The sequence below is a fragment of the Homo sapiens genome, chromosome 8, assembly GCF_000001405.40.
Source record: "Homo sapiens chromosome 8, GRCh38.p14 Primary Assembly".
NCBI lineage: Eukaryota > Metazoa > Chordata > Mammalia > Primates > Hominidae > Homo > Homo sapiens.
In genome coordinates this window covers 42,539,067-42,565,394 of record NC_000008.11, presented here as the reverse complement: position 1 = coordinate 42,565,394, position 26,328 = coordinate 42,539,067, and the positions used below count along the sequence as shown (strand labels likewise).

Here is a 26,328-nt window from a genome sequence, read left to right as displayed (position 1 = left end):
AGCTGCAGATAACAGGAGAAAGCTCCAAAAGCAAGCCCTGGGCCCTGAACAAAATCTGGAGGCATTATTAAACCTGGCAACCTTAGTGTTCTATAATAGGGTCCGAGAGGAACAGGCCCAAAAGGAAAAGTGAGATCAGAGAGAGGCCACAGCCTTAGTCATGGCCCTCAGACAAACAAACCTTGGTGGTTCAGAGAGGACAGAAAATGGATCAGGCCAATCACCTGGTAGGGCTTGTTATCAGTGTGGTTTACAAGGACACTTTAAAAAAGATTGTCCAACAAGAAACAAGCCACCCCCTCATCCATGTCCGCTATGCCGAGGCAATCACTGGAAGGCACACTGCCCCAGAGTGAAATGGTTCTCTGGGCCAGAAGCCCTCAACCAGATGATCCAACAACAGGACTGAGAGTGCCTGGGGCAAGTGCCAGCTCATGTCATCAACCTTACTGAGTCCCGGGTATGTTTAACCATTGAGGGCCAGGAAATTGACTTCCTCCTGGACACTGGCATGGCCTTCTCAGTGTTAATCTCCTGTCCTGGATGACTGTCCTCAAGGTCCATTACCATCCAAGGAATCCTAAGACAGCCTATAACCAGGTATTTCTCCCACCTCCTCAGTTGTAATTGGGAGACTTTGCTCTTTTCACATGCCTTTCTTGTTATACCTGAAAGTCCCACACCCTTATTAGGGAGGGATATATTAGCCAAAGCTGGAGCTATTATCTATATGAATAAGAGGAACAAGTTAACCATTTGTTGTCCTCTACTTGAGGAGGGAATCAACCCTGAAATCTGGGCATTGGAAGGACAATTTGGAAGGGCAAAAAATGCCTGCCCAGTCCAAATCAGGCTAAAAGACCCCACCACTTTTCCTTATCAAAGGCAATATCCCTTAAGGCCTGAAGCTCATAAAGGATTACAGGATATTGCTGAACATTTAAAAGCTCAAGGCTTAGTAAGGAAATGCAGCAGTCCCTGAAACACCCCAATTCTAGGAGTACAAAAACCGAACGGTCAGTGGAGACTAGTGCAAGATCTTAGACTCATCAATGACGCAGTAATTCCTCTATATCCAGTTGTACCCAACCCCTATACCCTGCTCTCTCAAATACCAGAGGAAGCAGAATGGTTCACTATTCTGGACCTCAAGGATGCCTTCTTCTGTATTCCCCACACTCTGACTTGCAGTTTCTCTTTGCCTTTGAGGATCCCACAGACCACATGTCCCAACTTACATGGACCTTCTTGCCCCAAGGGATTAGGGATAGCCCTCATCTGTTTGGTCAGGCACTGACCCAAGATCTAGGCCACTTCTCAAGTCCAGGCACTCTGGTCCTTCAGTATGTGGATGATTTACTTTTGGCTACCAGTTCAGAAGCCTCATGCCAGCAGGCTACTCTAGATCTCTTGAACTTTCTAGCTAATCAAGGGTACAAGGCATCTAGGTTGAAGGCCCAGCTTTGCCTACAGCAGGTCTAATATCTAGGCCTAATCTTAGCCAGAGGGACCAGGACCCTCAGGAAGGAATGAATACAGCCTATACTGGCTTATCCTTGCCCTAAGACATTAAAACAGTTGTAGGGGTTCCTTGGAATCACCAGCTTTTGCCAACTATGAATCCCCAGATACAGCAAGATGGCCAGACCACTCTATACTCTAATCAAGGAGACCCAGGGAGCAAATACTCATCTAGTAGAATGGGAACCAGGGGCAGAAAGAGCCTTCAAAACCTTAAAACAGGCCCTAGTACAAGCTCCAGCTTTAAGCCTTCCCACAGGACAAAACTTCTCTTTATACATCACAGAGAGAGAACAGGGATAGCTCTTGGAGTCCTTACTCAGACTTGTGGGACAACCCCACACCAGTGGCATACCTAAGTAAGGAAATTGATGTAGTAGCAAAAGGCTGGCCTCACTGTTTAAGGGTAGTTTCAGCAGTGGCCATCTTAGTGTCAGAGGCTATCAAAATAATACAAGGAAAGGATCTCACTGTCTGGACTACTCATGATGTAAATGGCATACTAGGTGCCAAAGGAAGCTTATGGCTATCAGACAACTGCCTACTTAGATACCAGGCATTACTCCTTGAGAGACCGGTGCTTCAAATATGTATGTGTGTGGCCCTCAACCCTGCCACTTTTCTCCCAGAGGATGGGGAACCAATCGAGCATGACTGCCAATAAATTATAGTCCAGACTTATGCCACCCGAGATGATCTCTTAGAAGTCCCCTTAGCTAATCCTGACCTTAACCTATATACCAGTAAAAGTTCATTTGTGGAAAATGGGATATGAAGGGCAGGTTATGCCATAGTTAGTGAAGTAACCATACTTGAAAGTAAGCCTCTTCCCCCAGGGACCAGCGCCCAGTCAGCAGAACTAGTGGCACTTACCCAAGCCTTAGAACTGAGAAAGGGAAAAAGAATAAATGTGTGTACAGATAGAAAGTATGCTTATCTAATCCTACATGTCCATGCTGCAATATGGAAAGAAAGGGAGCTCCTAACCTCTGGGGGAACCCCCATTAAATACCACAAGGAAATTATGGAGTTATTGCATGCAGTGCAAAAACTCAAGAAGGTGGCAGTCTTACACTGCCAAAGCCATCAGAAAGGTGAAGGAGAAAAGGCAGAAGGAAACCATCAGGCAGATGCTCAGGCCAAAATTGCTGCCAGGCGGAACCTCCCATTAGAAATACCTACGGAAGGACCCTTGGTATGGAACAACCCCCTCCAAGAGATTAAGCCCAGTATTCCCTGACTGAAACAGAATGGGGACTTTCACCCGGGCATAGTTTTCTCCCCTCAGGGTGGTTAACGACAGAAGAAGGAAAGGTACTTATACCCGAAACCAGCCAGTGGAAAATACTTAAAATCCTCCACCAAACTTTTCATATGGGTATTGAAAACACTCATCAGATGGCCAAATCCCTATTTACAGGGCCAATTCTCTTCTGGACTATCCGACAGATCATCAAAGCCTGTGAGGTGTGCCAAAGGAATAATCCCTTTGTCCATCATAAGGCCCCTTTGGGGGAATAAAGAATAGGTCACTATCCTGGAGAGGACTGGCAGTTAGACTTCACCCATATGCCTAAGTCAAAGGGATTTCAATACTTGTTGGTCTGTGTTGATACCTTTACAAATTGGATAGAAGCTTTCCCCTGCAAAACAGAGAAGGTTCAGGAAGTGATTAAAGTCCTAATTCATGAAATAATTCCTAGATTTGGGCTTCCCCAAAGCTTACAGAGTGACAATGGTCCAAGCTTTTAAAGCCACGATAACTCAGGGAATTTCCAGAGTGCTGGGATACAATATCACCTTCACTGCGCCTGGAGGCCACAATCCTCAGGGAAGGTCGAGAAGGCAAATGAAACACTCAAGAGGCACTTAAGGAAACTAACACAAGAAACTCATCTCCCATGGCCTACTCTTTTGCCCATGGCCTTGTTGAGAATCCGAAATTCTCCCCACAAAATGGGGCTCAGTCCATATGAAATGCTGTATGGACGACCTTTTCTCACAAATGACCTTCTACTTGATCAGGAAACGGCCAATTTGGCCAAAGATATAACTTCTTTGGCAAAATATCAACAAAATCTTAAAAACCTACCTGAAGGATGTCACAGAGAAAAGGGTACAGAGTTGTTTCAACCAGGAGATCTAGTGTTGGTCAAATCTCTCCCCTCTACCTCCCCATCTATGGACTCTTTGTGGGAAGGACCATACTCAGTAATCCTCTCTACCCCCACTGCAGTTAAGGTGGTAGGAGTGGAATCTTGGATTCACCACACCCAAGTCAAATTTTTGACACCCCCTGAGGAACCTGCGGGACCGTCAGCTCAGGAGTCCCAAGATCAGCCAGACCAGCCTCAATACACCTGCGAACCATTGGAGGACTTGCATCTCCTATTTCAGAAGGAAACATCCCAGACTAAAAAGGCTCCTACCACTGATCCTGAAGAAAAACCCCATCCTCCTTAAAAAAGATAAGTGAAAACCTACACAATCTTTATCTTTACCACCTCTCCTTGCCCCTTTAATGGAATCCTTTTACTATTTCATTATATTATTAAGCAGCATACTAACCATACTATATACTATAGCTCCTGCCAGGACAAAAATAAAATAGAACACAGGGAGCCACTCAGTTTGCCCCCAACACCCCTTTCCAGCCACTCACCGGGGCTACCTTGGCAAGTACTCTAGGAGTATGGGAAAATGAAAACAACAAACTCACACACCTTTTTAACATATACAACAAGTTCTGTCTACCCAGCCAAGGTATATTCTTCTTATGTGGAACATCGACCTATATCTGCCTCCCCACTAACTGGACAGGCACCTGCACCTTAGTCTTTCTAGGTCCCAACATTAACATTGCCCCAGGAAATCAGACCCTATCAGTACCCCTCAAAGCTCAAGTCTGTCAGCGCAGAGCCATACAACTAATACCCCTACTTATACAGTTAGTAATGGCTACTGCTACAGGAACCGGAATAGCCAGTTAATCTACTTCATTATCCTACTACCACACACTCTCAAAGGATTTCTCAGACAGTTTGCAAGAAATAACGAAATCTATCCTTACTCTACGATCCCAAATAGACTCTTTGGCAGCAGTAACTCTCCAAAACGGCTGAGGCCTAGACCTCTTCACTGCTGAGAGAGGAGGACTCTGCACCTCTTAGGGGAAGAGTGTTGTTTTTACACTAACCAGTCAGGGATAGTATGAGGTGCTGCCCGGCATTTACAGGAAAAGGCTTCTGAAATCAGACAATGCCGTTCAAACTCATACTAACCTCTGGAGTTAGGCAACGTGGCTTCTCCCCTTTCTAGGTCCCATGGCAGCCATCTTGCTATTACTCACCTTCAGGCCCTGTATTTTTAACCTCCTTGTCAAATTTGTTTCCTCTGGGATCAAGGCCGTCAAGCTACAGATGGTCTTACAAATGGAACCCCAAATGAGCTCAACTAACAACTTCTACCAAGGACCCCTGGACTGACCTGCTGGCCCTTTCACTGGCCTAGAGAGTTCCCCTCTGGAGGACACTACAACTGCAGGGCCCCTTCTTTGCCACTATCCAGCAGGAAGTAGCTAGAGCAGTCATCGGCCAATTCCCAGCAGCAGTTGGGGTGTTCTGTTTAGACGGGGATTGAGAGGTGAAGCCAGCTGGGCTTATGGGTCAGGTGGGGACTGGGAGAACTTTTCTGTCTAGCTAAAGAATTGTAAACATGCCAATCAATGCTCTGTGTCTAGCTAAAGATTTGTAAATGCACCAATCAGCACTCTGTAAAATGGACCAATCAGCAGGATGTGGGCGGGGCCAAATAAGGGAATAAAAGCTGGCCACCAGCAGGAGCAACCTGCTCAGGTCCCCTTCCATACTATGGAAGCTTTGTTCTTTCGCTCTTCACAATAAATCTTGCTGCTGCTCACTCTTTGGGTCAGCACTACCTTTAAGAGCTCTAACACTCACTGTGAAGGTCTGTGGCTTCACTCCTGAAGTCAGCAAGACCACGAACCCACCAGAAGGAAGAAACTCTGGACACATCTGAACATCTGAAGAAACAAACTCTGGACACACCGTCTTTAAGAACTGTAATACCTACCATAAGCGTCCGCGGCTTCATTCTTGAAGTCAGCCAGACCAAGAACCCACCGGAAGGAACCAATTCTGGACACACTCTGTCTTCCTGTCTCAAGGGGATAAGACAATAGAGTTGACAGCCCTGTTTTAAATGGATTCAAAACTGTGAAATCACTTTTTTTTTTTGAGACAGAGTTTTGCTCTTGTTGCCCAGGCTGGAGTGCAATGGGGTGATCTTGGCTCACCGCAACCTCTGCCTCCCAGGTTCAAGTGATCCTCCTAACTCAGCCTCCCGAGTAGCTGGGATTACAGGCCTGCACCACCACGCCCAGTTAATTTTGTATTTTTAGTACAGAGGGGGTTTCTCCATGTTGGTCAGGCTGGTCTCAAACTCTAGAGCTTAGGTGAGATCCACCCACCTCGCCCTACCAAAGTTCTGGGATTACAGGCGTAAGCCACTGTGCCCGGCCAGAATAACTTTTTTTTTTTTTTTTTTAGGAGTTCCAGTGCATTTAATAATTTTGATGGGGAACAGCTGACACTCTGATTGCTAATGTTTAAGATGATAGAGGAGGGTCGGGCGCAGTGGCTCATGCCTGTAATCTCAGCACCTTGGGAGGCTGGGGCAGGTGGATCACCTGAGGTCAATCGAGACCAGCCTGACCAACATGGTGAAACCCCATCTCTACTAAAAATGCGAAAAAAGGTGTAGTGGCAAACATCTGTAATCCCAGCTACACAGGAGACTAAGGCAGGAGAATCGCCTGAACCCAGGAGGCAGAGGTTGCAGTACGCCAAGATTGCGCCACTGCACTCCAGCCTGAGCAACGAGAGTGAAACTCCGTCTCGGGGTAGGAGGGAGAAAAAAACAAAAAAAGATGATAGAGGAGAGCAGAATTGGAAGTGGTGGCCAAACAAGAAGGCAGAGTTTAGTTAATTGCTTACATGATGTGATTTCAGAGGCCATAAACACTTTCTCATCTCTAAGAATTACCACTGCTCTTTAATGTCTAAAAACTTCATTTCCTTCCTATTGAAACCTCTCTCTGTTAAAATGCAGACCAAACGCCCTATAGGTGTAACGCTTTGACTGTTATCAGTCATGCAGACTTTTGTGGAAGTGTGTTTTAGATTCCTTTCTGGAAGTAGATTTTGATAGGGAATAGGAGGATATTGGATACTATGGGACTAAGTAGAGAAGAAAGAAGCTTAAGCTTGTCTAAGACACCTTAGACACCTCACCTGTTTTTCAATTTTACTGATGATTGGTATGAGAGGAAAAACAAAACCTGGTTTAATAAGAAATGGATTCATAAATGCTTTTTCTATAAATTTATAAACTTCAAGCTTATAGAAAAAGTTGTTCCAGTGCAAGAAACTCCTACATGCTTTTGATCCCCACTTGGTAAAAGCCCCACTTGCTCCATCCGTGTCTCTCCTCATCTGTTCATTCATATGCCTGTAGTTTGCTGAGAACTGAGTTTCTATCTGCTGTCACTTCTCTTTAGGCCAAATAGTTTCCTTTAGTATTTCTTGTACAACAGATCTGCTGCTGATAAATCCTTTTAATGATCATTTATCTGAAAGTATTTCATTTCTCTAAACATATTTGTAATAGCTGCTTTAAAGTTCTTATCTGTTGGCCGGGCACGGTAGCACTTGTGCCTGTAATCCTAGCACTTTGGGAGGCTGAGGTGGGCAGATGGCTTGAGTCCAGGAGTTCGAGACCAGCCTGGGCAACAGGGCAAAATCCTGTCTCTACTAAAAATACAAAAAATTAGCTCAGCATGGTGGTGTGTGACTGTAGTCCCAGCTACTCAAGAGGCAGAGTTGGGAGGATCACCAGAGCCCAAGAGGTCAAGGCTGCAGTGAGCTGTGATTTTACCACTGCACCCCAGCCTGGGTGACAGAGTGAGACCCTGACTCAAAAAAATAAAAAATCAATAAAAATTAAATAGAGTTCTTATCTGCTAATCCAATATCTGGATAATTTTGAAGTCAGTTTCTATTGACTGCTTTTTCTCGGCTACAGACTGCATTGTCCCATTTTTTTCTCTTTGACTGTGGCCTCATTTTCCTGTTCTTTCTGTTCTCATTTTCATGTTCTTCTCACATTCCTGTAACTTTTTCTTGCATATTGGACATTGTGAGTGATACAAAGTCTCTAGATTGTTTTCTTTCTCTGAAAAGTGCTGATTTTTGTTCTAGCAAGCAAAATTAATTTGGCAAGGCTCGAATGGCAATTCCTGTGGTGGCAACAGCTGAAAACTGCTCAGTTCTTTCAGCTTTTTTTTTTTTTGAGATGGAGTTTTGCTCTGTTGCCCAGGCTGCTGGAGTGCAGTGGCACAACCTCGGCTCACTGCCACCTCAGCCTCTTTCAGCCTTTTTAGCGATTTGCTTCCTGCTAGGCTCCTGAGAGATTATAGACGCATAGTTCAAGGATCAGCCAAAGACTTGCCCAAATTTACATGCAGTTCTTCTGTGGCTCACTTCTTTCTGGGATGTCCCTGTCACTGTCATCTCTCCAGAGTCCCTGAGCTCTGTCCTCAGAGACTGTGGCCTTCTGCCTGTGTTTCCCCATAGTCCTGAGCTGTGGACTGGGAAATGCCTTCAGGCAAAAAACCATAGAAATGAGAATCTCAACAGGTGCCTTTCTCTCAAGGCTCATCTTCCTTCTGGTTTGTTTGTCTGCATAGGGTTACCCCCAAATAGTTGGGGGTGGGGGGGTTGTTTGTTTCATTTTGTTTTTTTGAGATGGAGTCGTGCTGTAATGCCCAGTCTGGAGTGCAGTGGTGCGATCTCGGCTCACTGCAACCTCTGCCTCCCAGGTTCAAGCAATTCTCCTGCCTCAGCATCCTGAGTAGCTGGGATTACAGGCTTGTGCCACCATGCCTGGCTAATTTTTGTATTATTAGTAGAGATGAGGTTTCACCATATTGGCCAGGCTGGTCTCAAACTCCTGACCTCGTGATCCACCTGCCTTGGCCTCCCAAAGTGCTGGGATTACAAGCGTGAGCCACTGCACACAGCCCAAATAGTTGTTTTTTAAATACTTTGTCCTGAACTTATTGTCACTATCTCCAAGAATTAGCCTGACACAATTACTCTGCCATTACCAGAAGCAGAGACTACACTTTAAAAAAAACATATAAAAATATCACCTCTATAAACCGTTACAAGTAAATTGATTAATTCAACAAGTAGTTACTAAGCATTTACTCTGGGCTAGTTACTATGCCAATACTAGGTGCTAGAAATCCTTTCGGATATAAAGAATTATATAAAACTAAAGTCAACTGGAATGGGCCTGGTTCTTTAGACCTCAAAATAAAGATGTTATTCAGGGACATTACAATCCCTTCTCCCTACCCACTAAAGGAATACCATGTACATTTACTTGTTGTCTCATAGACATTTTACAATTTTGTGGTTCATTTTCTCAATAAATTCTGATTGCTGAGCCCAAAAGCATTTGCAGTTAACACCACCAAATCAGCTGTAGTTAAAAATTCTCAATTTTCTTTGGCTAGTTTGAAATTTGTCAAAATATATATAAATAAAAACCCCAGAGATAGAGTCACTCTTTCCTAACAGTGAGACCTCTGTCACTTCTCCATTTGGAAGAAAAGAAACTCTAGCGCTAGAAACATCACCCTGAAGGAGGTGAAAGCAGTGTTCCTTCAGCATCAAAACTGGGGCCAGGGAGGGGCCTCCCTTTGACTTACCCCACCTTCCTATCTGGATTGTGGAGTGTTACTAACCTCCACAAATGGTCTTAGTTTTTTACTATATCTAAATAAAATAAAGGTAAGCCTGGACGCAGTGGCCATGCCTGTAATCTCATCACTTTGGGAGGCCGAGGTGGGTGGATCACCTGAGGTCAGGAATTTGAGACCAGCCTGGCCAACATGGCGAAACCCCGTCTCTATGAAAACTACAAAAATTAGCCCAGCGTGGTGGCACATACCAGTAATCCCAGCTACTCAGGAGGCTGAGGCAGGAGAATCACTCGAACGCAGGAGGCAGAGGTTGCAGTGAGCTGACGTGGTGCCACTGCACTCCAGCCTGGGTGACAGAGTGAGACTCCGTCTCAAATAAATAAAATAAAATAAAATAAAAGTAGCAGTTTCATTTGTATAAGGTCCAATGCTGAATGCCACTTATTTGGGGTTAGAGGTCAAAGAAAGTTTGCATGTCTGCTATGGTGTGTAGGGTTCACCACCTTAGTTCTGAGTTCCTCATTCCCATTCTTAAATCCTCATTCAAGACCTGTCTCAGTCACAGGCTTATGGGACGATAAAGAGGGATGTAAAAGGGAGAGGTGGGACATTTTTCCTGCTTTATAGCTTTGTCTAAGTTTGGCTCTGGCTTCATTAAGGAGCCAAGTGGGAAATACACTCACGGAGCTCCAGCCCCTGCCCTCTGGTCCTCACTGTTGTGAACATGTTGGAGATTAGCTCAGTGCCCTTCCTATTTCCGTTGGTTTTCTGGCACCTCTTATTCTAGTTCCGCTATTAGAATAGCCTATGAAAGAGGATCACATACAGCAAGCACAGGGGAAACACTCCAGAACCAACCACTGAATGAATTACTTGGCTCTATACCACGTTCTTTTATTCCTTCTCCCTTTATTTTCTAGGTTAAATTTATTCTTGTATCATCTTAACATCTGAAACTATTTTTATTACTATTTTATCTTACTTCTAATGCATACTTAAAATACTTCTGATTGTACAGCAGTTTTACCATAAACCTTGCATGTCATTTTCTGATGAATCATGAATAACTCAACCAGACACAGCGTGAGGTCAACAGCAAACATCTGTGTCCTTGGAGGCGGCCTTCTCCCCTTCACGCAGCTGGCTGGCATCAGCTAAACAGCCAGTTATTTAACACACTCAAGCTGTGCACCAGGGCAGGCTGACCAGTGCTTACTGCTGAATATCTTACACATTAAAACAGGAAGATGAAACCAGAAAAAGAATACAAGGGTTAATTACTAGCTTATTAGTAGTTCCATTTTTCTTCCAAAGAAAACAGTTCTGTTGAGTCTCAGGTGGATGTTGGGTAGAAGCAGGACAGCCAGTCAGCGCCGCTTTGAAGTGTGGCTGCAGGGCTTGCGCTCTCCCCAATTCAGCTGTTGAAGCAGGGAAGAGACTTCAAAGCCGGCTTGCTGTTGTTCCTGCCAGTGGGGTGTGTGCAATTCCCATCAGTTTGCTTTAAGGAAAAAACGGAGAGGAATTCATCTCCTGTCACTTGCCAGGGCTTGATGCTCATCAAATAATCTACTAGTTTGTAGTTAGGACCATCTCTATCTAGTGGACACAAAGGAAATTCATTGTGTGACTTACGTTTATTTATGTACATTAATTTTACACATCTGAGATAGCCAGTTTGTGTAATTTGTCCAGATTGTGCCACATGTCAGTGACGAGTAAACCACTCCTACTGCTGATTAAATTCACTTGTGGAAATATACAGTAGCTCTCCTAGGCAAAGGCAAGTTTAGAAGATTGTCCCCTTGTTGCTCTGTTACTACAACCCATAATTACAACTGTTTACAATCCTTTAGTCAGATTTAAATTCAACATGTAGGAAGTGCGCTCAAACTCCTTTGTGAGTTAAGAATTATTCTGTTTGGTCAATTCACTTTGTACTATATATACATTTTTGAACAACACATTTTTAAAAGTAAATGCAATTTCCCTGAATGATTTTATTTGGTCTAAACCTTAATTTCCATTTAAAATGTATATAGTTTATTTCACAATAAGGGGAAAATGAAATACTTGAAGCCATTATTAACTTTTTTTTTTTTTTCTGAGACGAAGTCTTGCTCTGTCGCCTAGGCTGGAATGCAGTGGTGTGATCTTGGCTCATTGCAACCTCCACCTCTCAGATTCGAGCAATTCTCCTGCCTCAGCCTCCTGAGTAGCTGGGATTACAGGCGCATGCCACCACACCCAGCGAATTTTTGTATTCTTCGTAGAGATTGGGTTTAACCACGTTGGCCAGGCTGGTCTCAAACTCCTGACCTCGTGATCCTCCCACCTTGGCCTCCCAAAGTGCTGGGATTTCAGGCGTGAGCCACCGTGCCCAGCCAGCTCACTCTTATAATTGAAAATAGCTCTAGTTCAAAAACGGATTCTTTTGACTTATGTGGACAATTAAACTTCCCCACTATTACCCAGTCAGCTTTTATTTAAATAAACATGAAAAATTAGGTAAAAACATTTCATTGTACAGTACAGCATGGGAAAAGATATGAGGCTCTTTAGGAAAGCTTAGCATGCCAAAAATGCAGCAGTAACCAGACAGCAACATTCACCAGTGGCAGTAATACTGCCTCGCCAGTGGTAGCACTACTACCGCAGAGTTGCCAACACCAATACACAGGCATCCATTTATTCAACAGCAGGTCCCCAGTATGGCCTAAAGTAGAGCTACCTGGTAGAAATGAAACGGGGATAAAAACAAACTCGCTCCTGGGAGCATAATGAGGAAAAATCTAGTTACAGAAAGCTTCTAAAATTAGCACAGGAGTATGCATCATGCTGTAGAAAAGACGGTCTACCATACAAGTTCTGAAGAAGCAAAGATCATTAATTAAAGAGCTGTTAACAGAATATTCAGGAGGCTGTGGCAGGAGAATCGTTTAAACCCGGGAGGTGGAAGTTGCAGTGAGCAGAGATTGTGCCACTGCACTCCAGTCTGGGCAACAGACTCTGTCTCAAAAAAAAAAAAAAAAAAAGAGCTGTTAACAACAAATTAATCTGTTATTGATCTGACACTTATCACTCACAGAATACAATGAAACAGGAAGTTATTATTGAAATAATAACTTGCATTTTTATTTTTTAATATTGCAAATGGCATAAACTCCAGGATTCCCACTTCCCAAGATGTGTTTTTATTTCTCACTGATTGTATCCTGAAGGAATCACAGGTCTTGGCAAGGTCAAGTCACCATCGCTGGTTACACATATCCTGGATATGTGCAGGTTCCCTGTGTCAAGGCCTTTTGAGCCACTTGGAGATGTAATTTAAAAAGGCAAAACAATGCACAGAACAATTGGGGAAAAGTTACAAGTAAAATAATTTTATGCAGACAGAAATGTTTTTAAAGCTGTTCATGATTTAGTAGAAAGAATCAGGAGCTTGAAACAATTACTTCTGTTGCTCTTTTTCTGAGGTTTCATTCCAATGAGAGTTGCACACTGTCAGCTTGGTTTTGTGGCTGCTGATAGTCGTACTTTCTTGCTATTCACAACAAGAAAAAGAAGAGATAAAATTAATAAAACTGCAAAATGATTACTACTTAACAATATTACATTACAGTCAAGTCATGATTCTCAATGAAGAATTAGTTTTTGTCTGTTTGTTTCAGAGATAGAGTCTCCCTCTGATACCCAGGCTGCAGTGCAGTGGCACAATCACAGCTCACTGCAGCTTCAACCTCTTGTGCTCAAGCAATCCTCCCACCTCAGCTTCCCAGGTAGCTGAGACCACAGACAGACACCACCACACCCGGCTAATTTTTTATTTTTTGCAGAGATAGGGTCTCGCCATGTTGCCCAGGCTGGTCTTGAACTCCTGGCCTCAAGTGATCCTCTTGCTTTGGCCTCTTAAAGTGCTGGGATTACAGATGTGAGCCACTGTACCCCGCTAAGTAATTAGTCTAGAATTAAAACAATTTTGTTTCTTTGGAAAAGATGTATTACACTTCATGATCCTCTAATTTCTCAACACTGCTGATGCCCATTTTTATATGTTTATTATTATTATTCATGTATCAGGATTATTCATAGCTTTAAAATATAAACATTAAGCTATTAAAATTTCAAAACTGTATTTATTTTTGAGACAGTGTCTCACTCTGTCACCCAAGTTGGAGTGCAGTGGCACAATCATGGCTCACTGCTGCTTTGACCTCCCAGGCTCAAACAATCCTGCCACGTCAGCCTCCCAAGTAGCTGGGACTACTGGTGGACATCACCACACCCAGCTAATTTTTTTTATTTTTAGTATAGACAGGGTTTCACCATGTTGCCCAGGCTGGTCTTTGAACTCTTGGGCTCAAACGATCATCCTGCCTTGGCCTCCCAAAGTGCTGGGATTACAGGTGTGAGCCATCATGCCTGACCTAAGCTATTAAAATTAATGTTTAGTAATTTCTTCCTTTATTACCTGTCATTTCCATCTTAAAGTTAATAATAATGCTTTTGTCCACACATAAGGAATTTGACTATATTTTAACTTAAAAACCTAACAGGCTTATTGTTGATTAAACATATAATAAATGTCTTCAATATAAACTAGAAGAAAAAATAGATATGCAATTCTGTCTTCTTTTTGTACTTCTAAGAAACGTTAATTGAAGAAAAACTGTCTTAACTTGAAACTAGAGAAAATACAGGGCTAAAAATCTTTGTGTCATCCACTGCTTAGCTTTAAAACTTTCAATCTCTTCTAAGTTTTTTTTTTTTTTTTTTGAGTCTCGCTCTGTCGCCCAGGCTAGAGTGCAGTGGCGTGATCTCAGCTCCCTGCAAGTTCTGCCTCCTGGGTTCATGCCATTCTCCTGCCTCAGCCTCCTGAGTAGCTGGGACTACAGGTGCCCGCCATCATGCCCTGCTAATTTTTTATATTTTTAGTAGAGACAGGTTTTCACTGTGTTAGCCAGGATGGTCTCGATCTCCTGACCTGGTGATCCACCCGCCTCGGCCTCCCAAAGCGCTGGGATTACAGGTGTGAGCCACCACGCCTGGCCAATCTCTTCTAAGTTTTTTACTAGCCAAGAAAGAGATACTATTTGTTTATGCTACTCAGGGTAGATCCAGATTTTTGTAGCCCAAAGCTTACAACTTCGGGAGTCTTCTATTTAAAAAAGAATTCTGTTGCCTGTGTCTTTGGAACCACCAGACTCTGTCAGGACAAAATACATCACGAACACTAAGGACCCATTATGCTGGGATTCATTAAATGTGCAAATCCACACATGTGCTCACTGCTTATAAGCATAATGGCCCCCAAAGATGTCCACATCTTAACCCATAATCTGTGCCTATGTTACCTCACAAGACAAAAGGGACTCTGAAGATGTGATTAAGGTAGGGACCTTGACATGGGGAGATGACTCTGGATTATCTGCCCAACATAATCAGATGGGCCGTTAAAATTACAGAGCTTTTTTCCTGCCTAAGTTCTGAGAGAAGGAGATGTGGACATGAAATAGTCAGAAAGATGCAATGCTCCTGGCTTTGCAGATGGAGGAAGGGACTGTGACCCAAGGAGTGTGGATGGCCCTGAGAAGCTGGAGGAGGCAAAGACAGGGATTTTCCTTGGAGGCTCTAGAAAAACAGAACCATGCAGGCACCCTGAAGTTAGCACGGTGCAGCTGCTGTGGAGCTTCTAACCCACCGAACCGTGAGACAACATGTTCGTGTGGTTTAAGCCACTACATTTGTGGTAATTTGTTACAGTAGCAATAGAAAACTGATACACCTTGCAAACAGAAATTTGGATCAATTTTATTTTATATCATTTCCATCAAAAAAGAAATAAACTGTGGGTTTGTAATGTATCTGCTATGTTACTGAGCATATTACTGACAGCAAATAACTTTTGTGTACGTGTCAATAAAAACTTAGTTCTTTACTTAGAATTTTTCATACAGAGCTCCTGGCTCTGTACTTTTTTTTATTTTTTTTAAGACGAAGTTTCACTCTTGTCCCCCAGGCTGGAGTGTAATGGTGTGATCTCTGCTCACTGCAACCTCTGCCTCCTGGGTTCAAGCAATTCTCTTGCCTCAACCTCCTGAGTAGCTGGGATTACAGGCACCCACCACCACACCCAGCTAATTTTTGTACTTTTAGTAAAGATGGGGTTTCACCATGTTGGCAGGCTGGTCTCGAACTCCTGACCTCAAGTGATCCACCTGTCTCAGACTCCCAAAGTGCTAGGATTACAGGCGTGAGCCATCACACCTGGCCCCAAGGCTCTGTACTTTTTTTTTTAAACAATACTTATGTTTCTTTAAAAGGATTTTTTTTAATGTGGTAAAACATACATAACATAAACTTTACCATTTTAACCATTTTTAAGTGTACAGTTCAGTGGCATTACATATATTTGCATTGCTGGGACTATCACCACCATCCATCCACAGAGCTCTTCTCATCATCCCCAACTGAACTCTGGACCCATTAAACTCCCTATTCCCCTCTTCCATAGCCCCAGGCAACCACCATTCTACTTTGTGTCTCTGTGATTTGCCTCACGTAAGTGAAATAATCCAATATTTGTCCTGTTGTGACTGGCTTATTTCACTTAGTGTACTGTCTTCAAGGTTCATCCATGTGTAGCATGTCAGAATGTACTTCTTTTTTTTTTTTTGAGACGGAGTCTTGCTCTGTCGCCCAGGCTACAGTCCAGTGGTGTGATCTTAGGCCACTGAAACCTCTGCCTCCCAGGTTCGAGCGATTCTCCTGCCTCTGCCTCCCGAGTAGCTGGGATGACAGGCACCCGCAAGTGTGCCCAGCTTATTTTTGTATTTTTGGTAGAGACAGGGTTTCACCATCTTGGCCAGCCTGGTCTTGAACTCCTGACCTTGTGATCCACCCACCTCAGCCTCCCAAAGTGCTGGGATTGTAGGTGTGAGCCACCACTCCCGGCCAGAATGTCCTTCCTTTTAAGGGCTGAATAACATTCTATTGTATGCACCACACTTTGTTTATTCATTCATGGGCTGAGGACTTATGGGTGATTTCCACCTTTTGGCTATTGTGAATAATGCTGCTATGTTGAATTAAGTTATATGTCTTATTTTGAGCCAGTAACACATGCAAATGGTATAAAATACAAAAGGAACAAAGGATAAGTATCTGAAAAACATATTAAACATCTGAAAGAAGTACTAAGTTTTCATTACTTACGATTTCTAATAACATTTTGCTAAATGAACTCAATTCCAGAAAATCTATTTTAAATGTGCATATGTGTATCTTTCAGCACAGAATATACTTACAAATGGAATACATTTCCAGTTGTTGTCTTAAACGAATCTTGCTTATCGTGTCATAAAAGTTGGGCTCTGACAAAGTTTCCTCTGTAGGTGGCACACTGAATATCCTCATAATTCTCCTTTTGTTCCTAAACACAAAATCCATGCAGAAGAGATGTTTGTATTAATGTCTATAGAGTTGTAATATGCTCATGATCCTGGTCATCAGAAGCTGTGGTAAAAGGACTTAAATGACAAGACCATTTTACTTTCTATTTTGTCTTTGAGAGCTGCTTCCTTGGCTCAAAGTATTCTTTCTTTCACTAAAAAGTATGAGGCTGTGAGAAAAGTAGCTGAACACATCCATTTAACACAACAAAGTGAAGTTCCTCCATTGTGATTCTCCTCAATCCTCCAAAAGCCAAATATCCTATGAGAAAATCACAAACAAGAAAACAGCTGATTTTTCCTCCCTTTCATGACATCCAGATAAAGCTAAATGACTGGGCTGGAGAATAAACTGAATGTGAGCAGATCCTAATTTTGGAAAGTAATGAATAAACATATTTCTTAAATACAATAGGATGGGCTTAGTGGAGACATCTTTTTAAAATTAAGAACAGCGTGCCTCTGCTTTTAAAAGAAACATGGGGAGGCGGCGGTGGCTGTTTTTAGAGGAAAGCGGTCACCTGCCAGGTGATCAGTGATGGTCAGGGTGCCTCCTCTCACCACCCCTAGAGTTCAGCAGCCAACAGGCCAGCTGCTCCAGGAGGGTTCAGCTGAGATCTGGGCGCAAGTGCGGGCTCTGAATGATTCCTCAGGCCAAACGTAAATTATTTCTGGATTACTAATTACCTTGAACTCTCGAATGCCTTTTTACCTTGGGACAGGATACCTGTAAAGCATGTGTCTGCAGAAGCATCCCAATCTAACACTGCTCTTCCTCTTTTTAAAGCATCCCTGCACCTCCCCCTTTTTACTGTACTTCTGGGAAAGGAGCCAGGGAATGTGGAAAAGCAGTTAAATTAAGCTACAACATCTGGAATTAAAGCAGGAAATACTTATTGAAGATTTACACTATATGGCACACCAAGGACCCAAAAGTAAAAGACAAAAAAGACATGTTGTGGAATGGACAGACAAGTAATCAGATAAAACTAACATTGTTTAATAAGTGCTATGATATAGTCATGCACAAAAAACAAGGAAAAGCTTATACTGGCTAAAGGGAGATCTGCTGAATACACAGGAGTCAGTGTTTCTGCATTCAGGGACTTAAGCCAAAAAAAATGTGCTCAATGAAGGGTGACAATGAACCCAGGCTGGATGATAAAATTGGGCTATATTAGAAATTGCAGAATTGAGAGTTTAGTGCAGCTGGCCTGGGGGCTGAGAGTGGTACTTAACTCTTCATTTCTTAAAGCGATGGGGTTTTCTTTTTTTTTTTTGAGATGGAGTCTCACTTTGTCGCCCAGGCTGGAGTGCAATGGCACGATCTTGTCTCACTGCATCCTCCTCCCATGTTCAAGTGATTCTCCTGCCTCGGCCTCCCAAGTAGCTGGGATTACAGGCTCACGCCATCACGCCCAGCTAATTTTTTTATTTTTAGTAGAGACGGGGTTCACCATGTTGGCCAGACTGGTCTTGAACTCCTGACCTCAGGAGGTCCACCAGCCTCAGCCTCCCAAAATGCTGGGATTACAGGTGTGAGCCACCGTGTCTGGCCAGCAATGGGGTTTTCAGAGCCAAACCTTGGCCACCAATGCTTGAGACCAGAGTAGACAGTGTCTTTCAGCACTAGAACAAAAATTATAATGAAATTTCTTTCTTTTTTTTTCTGAGGCGGAGTCTTGCTCTGTCGCCAGGCTGGAGTACACCACTGCAACCTCCAACTCCCTGGTTCAAGTGATTCTCCTGTCTCAGCCGCCCAAGTAACAGGGATTACAGGCACGCACCACCATGCCCAGCTAATTTTTGTATTTTTAGTAGAGACAGGGTTTCACCATGTTGGCCAGGATGGTCTCAATTTCCTGACCTCGTGATCTGCCCACCTCGGCCTCCCAAAGTGCTGGGATTACAGGTGTGAGCCACTGCGTCCAGCCTGATGAAATTACTTTTATGCATTCATTTCATATTTCTTAAACTAGCAAAACTTGTAAATGCACAGTTTTTATCTACCCTGAGAAACAAAAATTTACCTTTTGGCATACATGAAGAGACCGAAGCTAACAAGGATAACTATCAAGTAAACATTGGTGGCTTCATTCCAGGCTTCGTGAACAGTATAATCAATAGAACCATCGTCACCCATCACTCCATAACCCCCAGCCATGGGGCTGTAAGAGAGAAAAGAAAGCAGGGTTTCTTTTAATTAATGATGGTAGCACTGTCTGGAGAAGGGTTGGCAAACATATGGCCTGCTGGCCAAATCCAGTCCACCACCTGTTTGTGTGCGGCCCATGAGCCAAGAATGGGATTTACATTTCTAAGTGGCACATTTTAAATGGTGCAGTTGGCCCTCTCTATCTGACGGTTCTGCATCCACATAATCAACCAACTGTGAATGGAAAATATTTGGGAAAAAATACAAATTTTAAAAAATACATTATACCAACTATTTACATAGCATTTACATTGTATTAGGTATTGTAAGTGCTTAGAGATGATTTAAAGTACATAGAGGATGTGCTTAGGTTATATGCAATACTATGCCATTTTATATCGGGACTTGGGCATCTACGGATTTTGATATCTGAGGGGGTCCTGGCACCAATCTCCCAAATACCAAGGACTGCACCTACACAATATTGATTTTGTTTCAAAGCCCACAAAACCTAAAATATTTACAATCTGGCCCTTTAAGAAACTTGGGATAAAAAATAATATTACTAAAAGGACTGAGCTTGAAATGTTATTGCAGTTTCCAAATTGTAACACCCAGAGGAAAGTAACAGAATACTTTAAAACAGAGACTCTGCTGGGCGTGGTGGCTCAGGCCTGTAATCCCAGCACTCTGGGAGGCCGAGGTGGGTGATCACCTGAGGTCAGGAGTTCAAGACCAGCCTGGCTAACATGGTGAAACCCTGTTTCTCTAAAAATACAAAAAATTAGCTGGGCATGATGGCGGGTGACTGTAATCCCAGCTACTTGGGAGGATGAGGCAGAAGAATTGCTTGAACCTGGGAGACGGAGGTTACAGTGAGCGGAGGTCAGGCAGTTGCAATGCAGCCTGGGTGACAGAGCGGGACTCCATCTCAAAAAACAAAAACCACAGAGACTCAACACCTGGCTGTGCTGCTACAAAAGTGTTGCACAGCAGCCTAGCAAGGATGTGACAGCCAGAACATGGCTCTCTCACCCCGCATGCCTCCCACACTGGGAAACGTTTAGAGCTTTATCTAGTTTTGGCCTGCTGGACAAATTTGGTTGAAAGAAGCTATGGGATGAAAAGATACATTTTGCTATTGACACAGCTGTGACATCTACCCTAGGAAATGCATTCTTTGGACATTCCCACAGAAAGTTAGAGTGGTCACAGCAAGTGCATCAAACAGCAAGTAAAAGTAATGACTTCTTCTTTGTGTTTGAGAAGTTAACTGAATTTTTCTTTAAAGAGAGTTCCTCCCTTGTGTTGGGACATAAAAGGTAAGTCTAAGTAAAATGACCTAATATGTAAAGAAAATCCAGAAGTGTTGTTTTAGACACTCTATATACAGGAGAAAAATGGACAAATATAAGTGATAGTTGCACTGTAGTTTCTGAGAATCAGTCATTTTCTAATACCAAGAAAAACAGTCTAAAAAGTTGTTTGGTGATTTTTTTCTACGCTGCCTACAACAATGAAGGCATTACAAAAATTCTTTCACTAAAATGTCTTGCAGGAGTCCATGCTGTAAACCTCCAAAGTGTTCATTAGTGTAGATTTGGCCAGCTAGTTAATATACATGTTTTGAGGGCAGAGTTCTTTCTTTTAGCTTGCCTCTATATGAGAAAAATGAAATTTCAGGAGAGGTCTGTTCCTAAGCCACATGGCATGTTTCTGCCTTTCTGACAACGTGACTTTGTCAGATGTTTGGGGACATACTGTACTCCTTTAGAATAAAGTGAGTATCATGAACAGCCATTTAACTTCAACTCTTCACACTGAGGGCAGGAGTGATTTGACTAAACTAACTATGGGTGTCTGCTGAATATAAAGATTTGTCTCGTGAAAATTAGCCAGAGAACAATAAAAACAGAAATTAAGTTGTAAAAATTTGCAGATGCACTATCTAAATATTGTTTAAACACTAGACTATACCCAATTCCTAGATACTAAAGACTGGCTGTGGATTTTTTTGAGTGAGAGGTACAGAGGTATTTGGCATTTGGCATTTTTTTTTTTTTTTTTCCCTGAGACAGAGTCTCGCTCTGTCACCCAGGCTGGAATGCAGTGGCACGATCTCGGCTCACTGCAAGCTCCGCCTCCCGGGTTCACACCATTCCCCTGCCTCAGCCTCCTGACTAGCTGGGACTATAGGAGCCCACCACCGCGCCCGGCTACTTTTTTGTATTTTTAGTAGAGACGGGGTTTCACCGTGTAAGCCAGGATGGTCTCGATCTCCTGACCTCATGATCCGCCCACCTCGGCCTCCCAAAGTGCTGGGATTACAAGCGTGAGCCACCGCGCCCGGCCGGTATTTGACATATTGAGAGTTTCAATTCTTATTCCTCAAAACTAAATTCCAGAGTTCCTCTGAATGTAACTTTATGGTTTATAGTAAGTAATCAGCCTACTTTAGACATGGAAACTTTTGGAAGCCCAGACACTATAACTGTCTTTATAATTTATGGAATCTCAAACTTCGTTGGTGCCAAAGTGTAAAATAGCAACCACCACCACCGTGTTTGGCAAAAAAAAGATGACTTTATGTGTCTGATTTGAGATGCTGCAGAAGGCCCAGGACAATTATGCAGCAAGGGAGGCAGCTTTCAGGATTGAGAGTTATTAACAAATTAGGCAAGAAACGGGGAACCATACAGCACTGGCCACTAGAACATTTCACGGGTGTCATTTATCTGACAAATTAAAAAATGTTTCCTATTTTCTAATGACAAAATGGATCAGAACCAGGTTAATTTCTTACTTTAATTTTTCACAAGATTCTGTTCATGTGCCACTCAGTAAATGGTATATTCCTACTCAAAAGCGCTACTTCCTCCTGCCCCAAATATGCAGGTCTTTAATTACACTTAGGAAAAAATTTCTAATTACTGCTGACATAGAACGGTAAAATTTTAACGTGAATTATACAACCTATATTATACAACATGATTGGTATGTCATGAAGTCACTCTTCTGCGCTTCCAGGCACATGCACTTGAGTTATTTTTAGGAGTGTAGTTGTGAAAGATTTGCAGAGGGGAGGCCTTTCCCGCCCAGTCCTCAATCATGATCAATGGCATGACTTTATAAGGCTGCCAGGAGTAAGGAGTGCTCTGGTCCTGAGTCACAGTACAGACCCACAGCCCACAGGCAGCCTGAACTATGACCCCGTCCCCTCCTCCCCGGCATGCCACAGTGTAACCAAGTGTACACACATACACCTGCTGCGTGCTTACTGCATACCACCACAGCCTTCCTCTGGAATCTAAAGCAAGACACCATTTTTCACATTTTCCTGTAATGTAATGCTTGAACTATTTCAGTAAGGAGAGGCTAGGATGGGCTGAATTAAGTCTCAAGTAAACAAGAGTATATAAACTTGCCAATATATTACAACTAGGGGTTGGTTTTAGATTGACAAACTTTTAGGATGAGAACTACTTTTTTTTTTTTTTTTACAAAAACAGGGTCTCACTCTGTCACCCAGGCTGGAGGGCAGTGGTGCGATCTCGGCTCACTGCAGCCTCGACGTCCCAGAATCGAGGGATTCTCCTGCCTCAGCCTCCCAAGTAGTTGGGAATACAGGCAAGTGCCACCATGCCTGGGTAATTCTTATTTTTTTTTTTTTAAAGACGGGGGTGGGGTGGGGGTCGTCTCACTATACTGCCCAGGCTGGTCTCAAAACTCCTGAGCTCAGGCAATCCGCCCGCCTCAGCCTCCCAAAGTGCTGGGATTACAGGCGTGAGCCACCGTGCCCAGCCGAGAACTACTTTTTCTAGGGACTAGGTCACTGTATCATAAGCTTTAAAATCTGTGTCGTGATTTTGGGTTCCTGATGTCACGTCTAGGTGATTCTAAAATTGACCACCGCTTGTCATCGTGCCTTGAATGTTATCATTTTTGTCTCTCACTTAGAACTTTGTTACTTTGATACAAATTCACATTGGAACCACTTAGTTCCTAGAGTCCCTTACAACAAAATCCTCTGCATCAAAAAATGGGATTTCTTTCTCTCATCCCTCTGAAACACTAAAGGCTTGGTATTCTGAAGCCAAAGGGTACATACAAGCTCACAGGCCTTCACCCAACATCCAGGAAAGCAATTCACAGGTGCTGGGCAGTCCACAGAGTCACTGAATTATCCCAACAACCCTGCTGGGCGGCACTAAAGCTCCATTTTACAGGAGAAGAAACTGGGGTGGCGGCGGTGGTTATATAACTTGTCCAAAGCCACACAGGCCTGGGCGTGGAGGCGCGGGGCTGTTATACACACGACTCCCAAACCTGAACTCTTCCAGTCTTGGCCCCGATCCTGCGAGACCTGCTCCTTCCGGAAGAAAGTCAAGTGGAGCAGGGAGAAAATGTAATCCTCTCCCAGGAAGCAGCCCGGGTCCCAGGGCGGCGAGGCTCTAGGGACGTTTCCGCCGCCCGCAGGCTGCGCGTGATTCAGCCTCAACCCTCCCGCCGAGCCCCCGCCGCCCCGGCAGATGGGCCGCCGCAACTGGCCCGTGTGCGCTTCCGGAAGCGGGCGACTCGCAGCTCCACGCGACGCCGAGGGGCTCCGCGCCGGGACCGGGCGGGTGCTCGGAGTTTCGGGGACCGCACGGGACCGAGGGCAGGCGGGCGGCCACCCCCCTTACCCCCGCGTCCGGGGCGGGGCGGGCGGCGCGGGGCGGGGCCGGGTGACGCGGCCCCGCCGGGGACCGGGAGAAGCGGGGACGCGGGGCCACTCACGCTGCCGGCTCCGGAGGCGGCACGCGGCCAGCGCTGCTCCGCTCCGGGGCTCTTTACCCCGGAGTCGGGGCCGGGCGCGCGGGAAACGGTTACCGAGCGGACCTGGACGCCCTCTGCCTTCGTCATTTCCTGCCGGCCGGTCGGTTTCCGGATGAAACGAGGAGCCAGGTCTTTTTTTTTTTTTTTTCCTTTCCCCTTTTCAGTTTTTTGAGCCGGAGAGACGCAGCGGCGGCCCCAGTGCCGCCCCCGGGCGCGTGAGTGGAGCCGGGCTCCTTTCCCCTACCGCGCCGCGACCCCCGCCCGGGCTGCGCGCGCCGCCTCCCGCGAGCCCCCGGCCCGACTCCCGGGCTCCCGCGGGTGGGGGCCAGGGCTGGTCGGCGCCGGCGGGGCTCGCGGCGGCGGCGGGTTGCGTCCCCCGCGCCTGCTGGCCCACGTGGACCTGGCCGTCGCTTGCCGTGCGGCGCCTTTGCGAAAACTCGACGGAAGTGGCAGGGACCGGGCATTACCTGCGAGTGCCGGGCGCCTCCTGCTCCGCTGTGCGCGCTTGGGGTGGGACTCGGCGGGGGAGGGGTCGTGTACATTGTCCCACCAGGCGCAATGTAGCCGGGCGGCGCAGAGGATTTCTTTTTTGGTCTTGAGAGCATAGAGTCCCTTTTCATATTCACGTGTACTCTTAAGAAAGCGTCTGTTCTCCAAACTGGCTTTCCATTCTCCCCGTCCTAAATGGTGCGTGGCTGACACCGTAGTGTTTTCAAAACTGGATATGGCCAGGATGCTATAGCATTGTCAGTGTAAGTCCCTTTTGGGTATTTTTATTTAATTGTGTAGTGACTTGACAGAAGTGTTTCCCAGCTTGACCTAAGTAATGAATTTGCATAGGATTTCAGCATCAGTATGGAAGTGATCAGATGTCAGTGGCTGGTGCCACCTTGCAGATAAATGGCCACTGGTCCACGTAGTTCGTCTTTACTATACATTTTGATTAAGTTCTCTAGGACCAGCTGACTGGTAATTATAAGTCACATGAAACCCTGCAGAGATGAGAGCTTACATTGAACACTTCTTAACAAGTTTTCTATTCTTTGTTTCATCTGTTACAATTAAACTCACCTTCGTCTAGGGTAAGACCATTACTTTACGCAATAACATACTAGCTTAATTTACGGTATTTATATGTATTTATATATATTGTATATACATAATCATACATATAATTCTATAACATTTAGTTTGACTCTAAAGTTGGAAAATCAGGAAAATAACAGGTGATGTTGAGTACTGATTGTTTGCCGGGCCTGTGCCAAATGGTGTGCATGCTTTATGTAACTTAATCTAAAAAAATTTGAATACGTGAGTTTGATTTCAGTGTGTCCAAATGTGAAACGTGTACATTATTGTTATTGTTTTGTTTTTTTTGAGACGGGGTTTTGCTCTCGTTCAGGCTGGAGTGCAATGGCACTGTCTTGGCTCACTGCAACCTCCGCCTCCCGGGTTCAAGCGATTCTCCTTCCTTAGCCTCCCAGGTAGCTGGGATTACAGGCGCCCGCCACCACGCCCAGCTAAGTTTTGTATTTTTAGTAGAGACGGAGTTTCACCATGTTGGCTAGGCTGGTCTCGAACTCCAGACCTCAGGTGTTCCGCCCGCCTCGGCCTCCCAAAGTGCTGGGATTACAGGCGTGAGCCACCGCGCCGGGCAAACGTGTGCATTAAATGCTTGTTTATGCCTTTGTAAAATAAGAGTGTTGGCAATATAAAATGTTACCCATAGAGTAAATTAATGTGTTTTTCAAGTTGGAAGATGGCTTTAAAAATTCATAGAAGTACAATTAGTCCCTTTATTTAGGTGCTGAATAGTTTCCAAAGCCCCGTGTCTCTTATTTATCAGAGTTTCTATTATATAACATTGTCACCCAGTGAACAGGCTATGCTAGGACATTGGAAAAAGGTAAATATTGAGAAAGCCCTAATGGTCCTTTCTTAAATGGCCCCCTCTTTCCATATTTAATTTCTAAGTGACATTCCTAATTAAGGGTAAACAAACATAATGAAACAAGGCTAATTTTCCAATACCAAACTAAAAAAATAAAAAACAGTGGACTGGCTATTACTTTGTTGATGAGTCTAGCACAGTTTTACTGGGCATTTAAATGTTAAGGATGTTATTTACATTGTAGCTAGTTGTGAAAGATTTGTGTGTCTAAGTTTTTAGTTTGCCTTTAAATGTCTTGAACATATGCTTAGTATTGAGTCCAGTACTTTGTGCATTAATAGTAAGTTTTTTGATTGGATTTAATTGAACAGTTTTGGCTTCCTTAATTTTATTTTGAAGATAGAATTTAATGATTTGTGTAGGCATAACAGTTACAATTAACAGTGATTCCGAGATGAGCGTAGGGTTTAACTTAACAGTTCACATTTTCTTGCGAGTTGAAAGGACTGGAGAGTTGGATGTGTGTCTTCTTTGTGATTAAAAAAGCATGCTGGAACTTAGCTATCAGAAGATTCTGGTGGTCCATCTTTGGGAAGAGGAAAAGATTAAGAATGCTTTGCTAGTCAGTATTTACAAGAGGGTTTCTTTACTTAAAGGCATTTTCTCTTTGGGGAGGGGAGGAGTTGAGAGTTGTCATTAATGGAAGGAT

At 44.0% G+C, this 26,328-nt stretch overlaps 2 protein-coding genes across 15 annotated transcripts in view, besides 4 other annotated features; one reads left to right on the top strand and one right to left on the bottom strand.

Moving 5' to 3' along the window:
* Positions 1–10,199: 10,199 nt before the first annotated feature.
* On the bottom strand, positions 10,200–24,247 carry SMIM19 (small integral membrane protein 19). Of its 5 annotated transcripts, none has more exons than NM_001135676.2 (4): positions 24,196–24,247; positions 18,789–18,926; positions 16,615–16,739; positions 10,200–12,851 (listed from the first exon to the last, which is right to left on the bottom strand). In NM_001135676.2, the coding sequence occupies exons 2-4, from the start codon at positions 18,920–18,922 to the stop codon at positions 12,787–12,789; spliced, it is 324 nt and encodes a 107-aa protein (NP_001129148.1). In that variant the 5' UTR covers positions 18,923–18,926; positions 24,196–24,247; the 3' UTR covers positions 10,200–12,786. The 5 variants fall into 5 exon arrangements, with proteins under 5 accessions (NP_001129148.1, NP_001350115.1, NP_001129146.1 ...); NM_001363186.2 differs by lacking the exon at positions 24,196–24,247 and adding an exon at positions 22,930–23,810; NM_001135674.2 differs by lacking the exon at positions 24,196–24,247 and adding an exon at positions 23,022–23,810.
* Positions 10,503–11,024: an enhancer, noted in NCBI's record as "NANOG hESC enhancer chr8:42409514-42410035 (GRCh37/hg19 assembly coordinates)". NCBI's record gives its function as "activates a minimal SCP1, AML or CMV promoter by ChIP-STARR-seq in naive H9 embryonic stem cells {active_cell/tissue: H9 hESC(naive)}" and the evidence as "EXISTENCE:reporter gene assay evidence [ECO:0000049][PMID:30033119]".
* Positions 21,935–22,229: an enhancer, noted in NCBI's record as "tiled region #9023; HepG2 Activating DNase unmatched - State 1:Tss". NCBI's record gives its function as "activates a minimal TATA promoter and a strong SV40 promoter by Sharpr-MPRA in HepG2 cells {active_cell/tissue: HepG2}" and the evidence as "EXISTENCE:reporter gene assay evidence [ECO:0000049][PMID:27701403]".
* Positions 23,390–23,809: a silencer, noted in NCBI's record as "silent region_19157". NCBI's record gives its function as "represses an Ori minimal core promoter by ATAC-STARR-seq in GM12878 lymphoblastoid cells {active_cell/tissue: GM12878}" and the evidence as "EXISTENCE:reporter gene assay evidence [ECO:0000049][PMID:35858748]".
* The window catches only part of SLC20A2 (solute carrier family 20 member 2), a 125,480-nt gene continuing 122,592 nt past the window's right edge, over positions 23,441–26,328 (top strand). For 2 of the 10 annotated variants that reach the window (XM_024447237.2, XM_017013748.2), the window contains exon 1: positions 23,441–23,535. The gene's annotated coding sequence lies outside the window, so the exon portion shown is untranslated. Of the gene's footprint in view, positions 23,575–23,683; positions 24,481–26,328 lie in introns of those variants that run through there. The other 8 variants (XM_006716390.5, XM_005273613.4, XM_024447235.2 and 5 more) reach the window with 5 other exon arrangements.
* Positions 23,950–24,229: a silencer, noted in NCBI's record as "silent region_19156". NCBI's record gives its function as "represses an Ori minimal core promoter by ATAC-STARR-seq in GM12878 lymphoblastoid cells {active_cell/tissue: GM12878}" and the evidence as "EXISTENCE:reporter gene assay evidence [ECO:0000049][PMID:35858748]".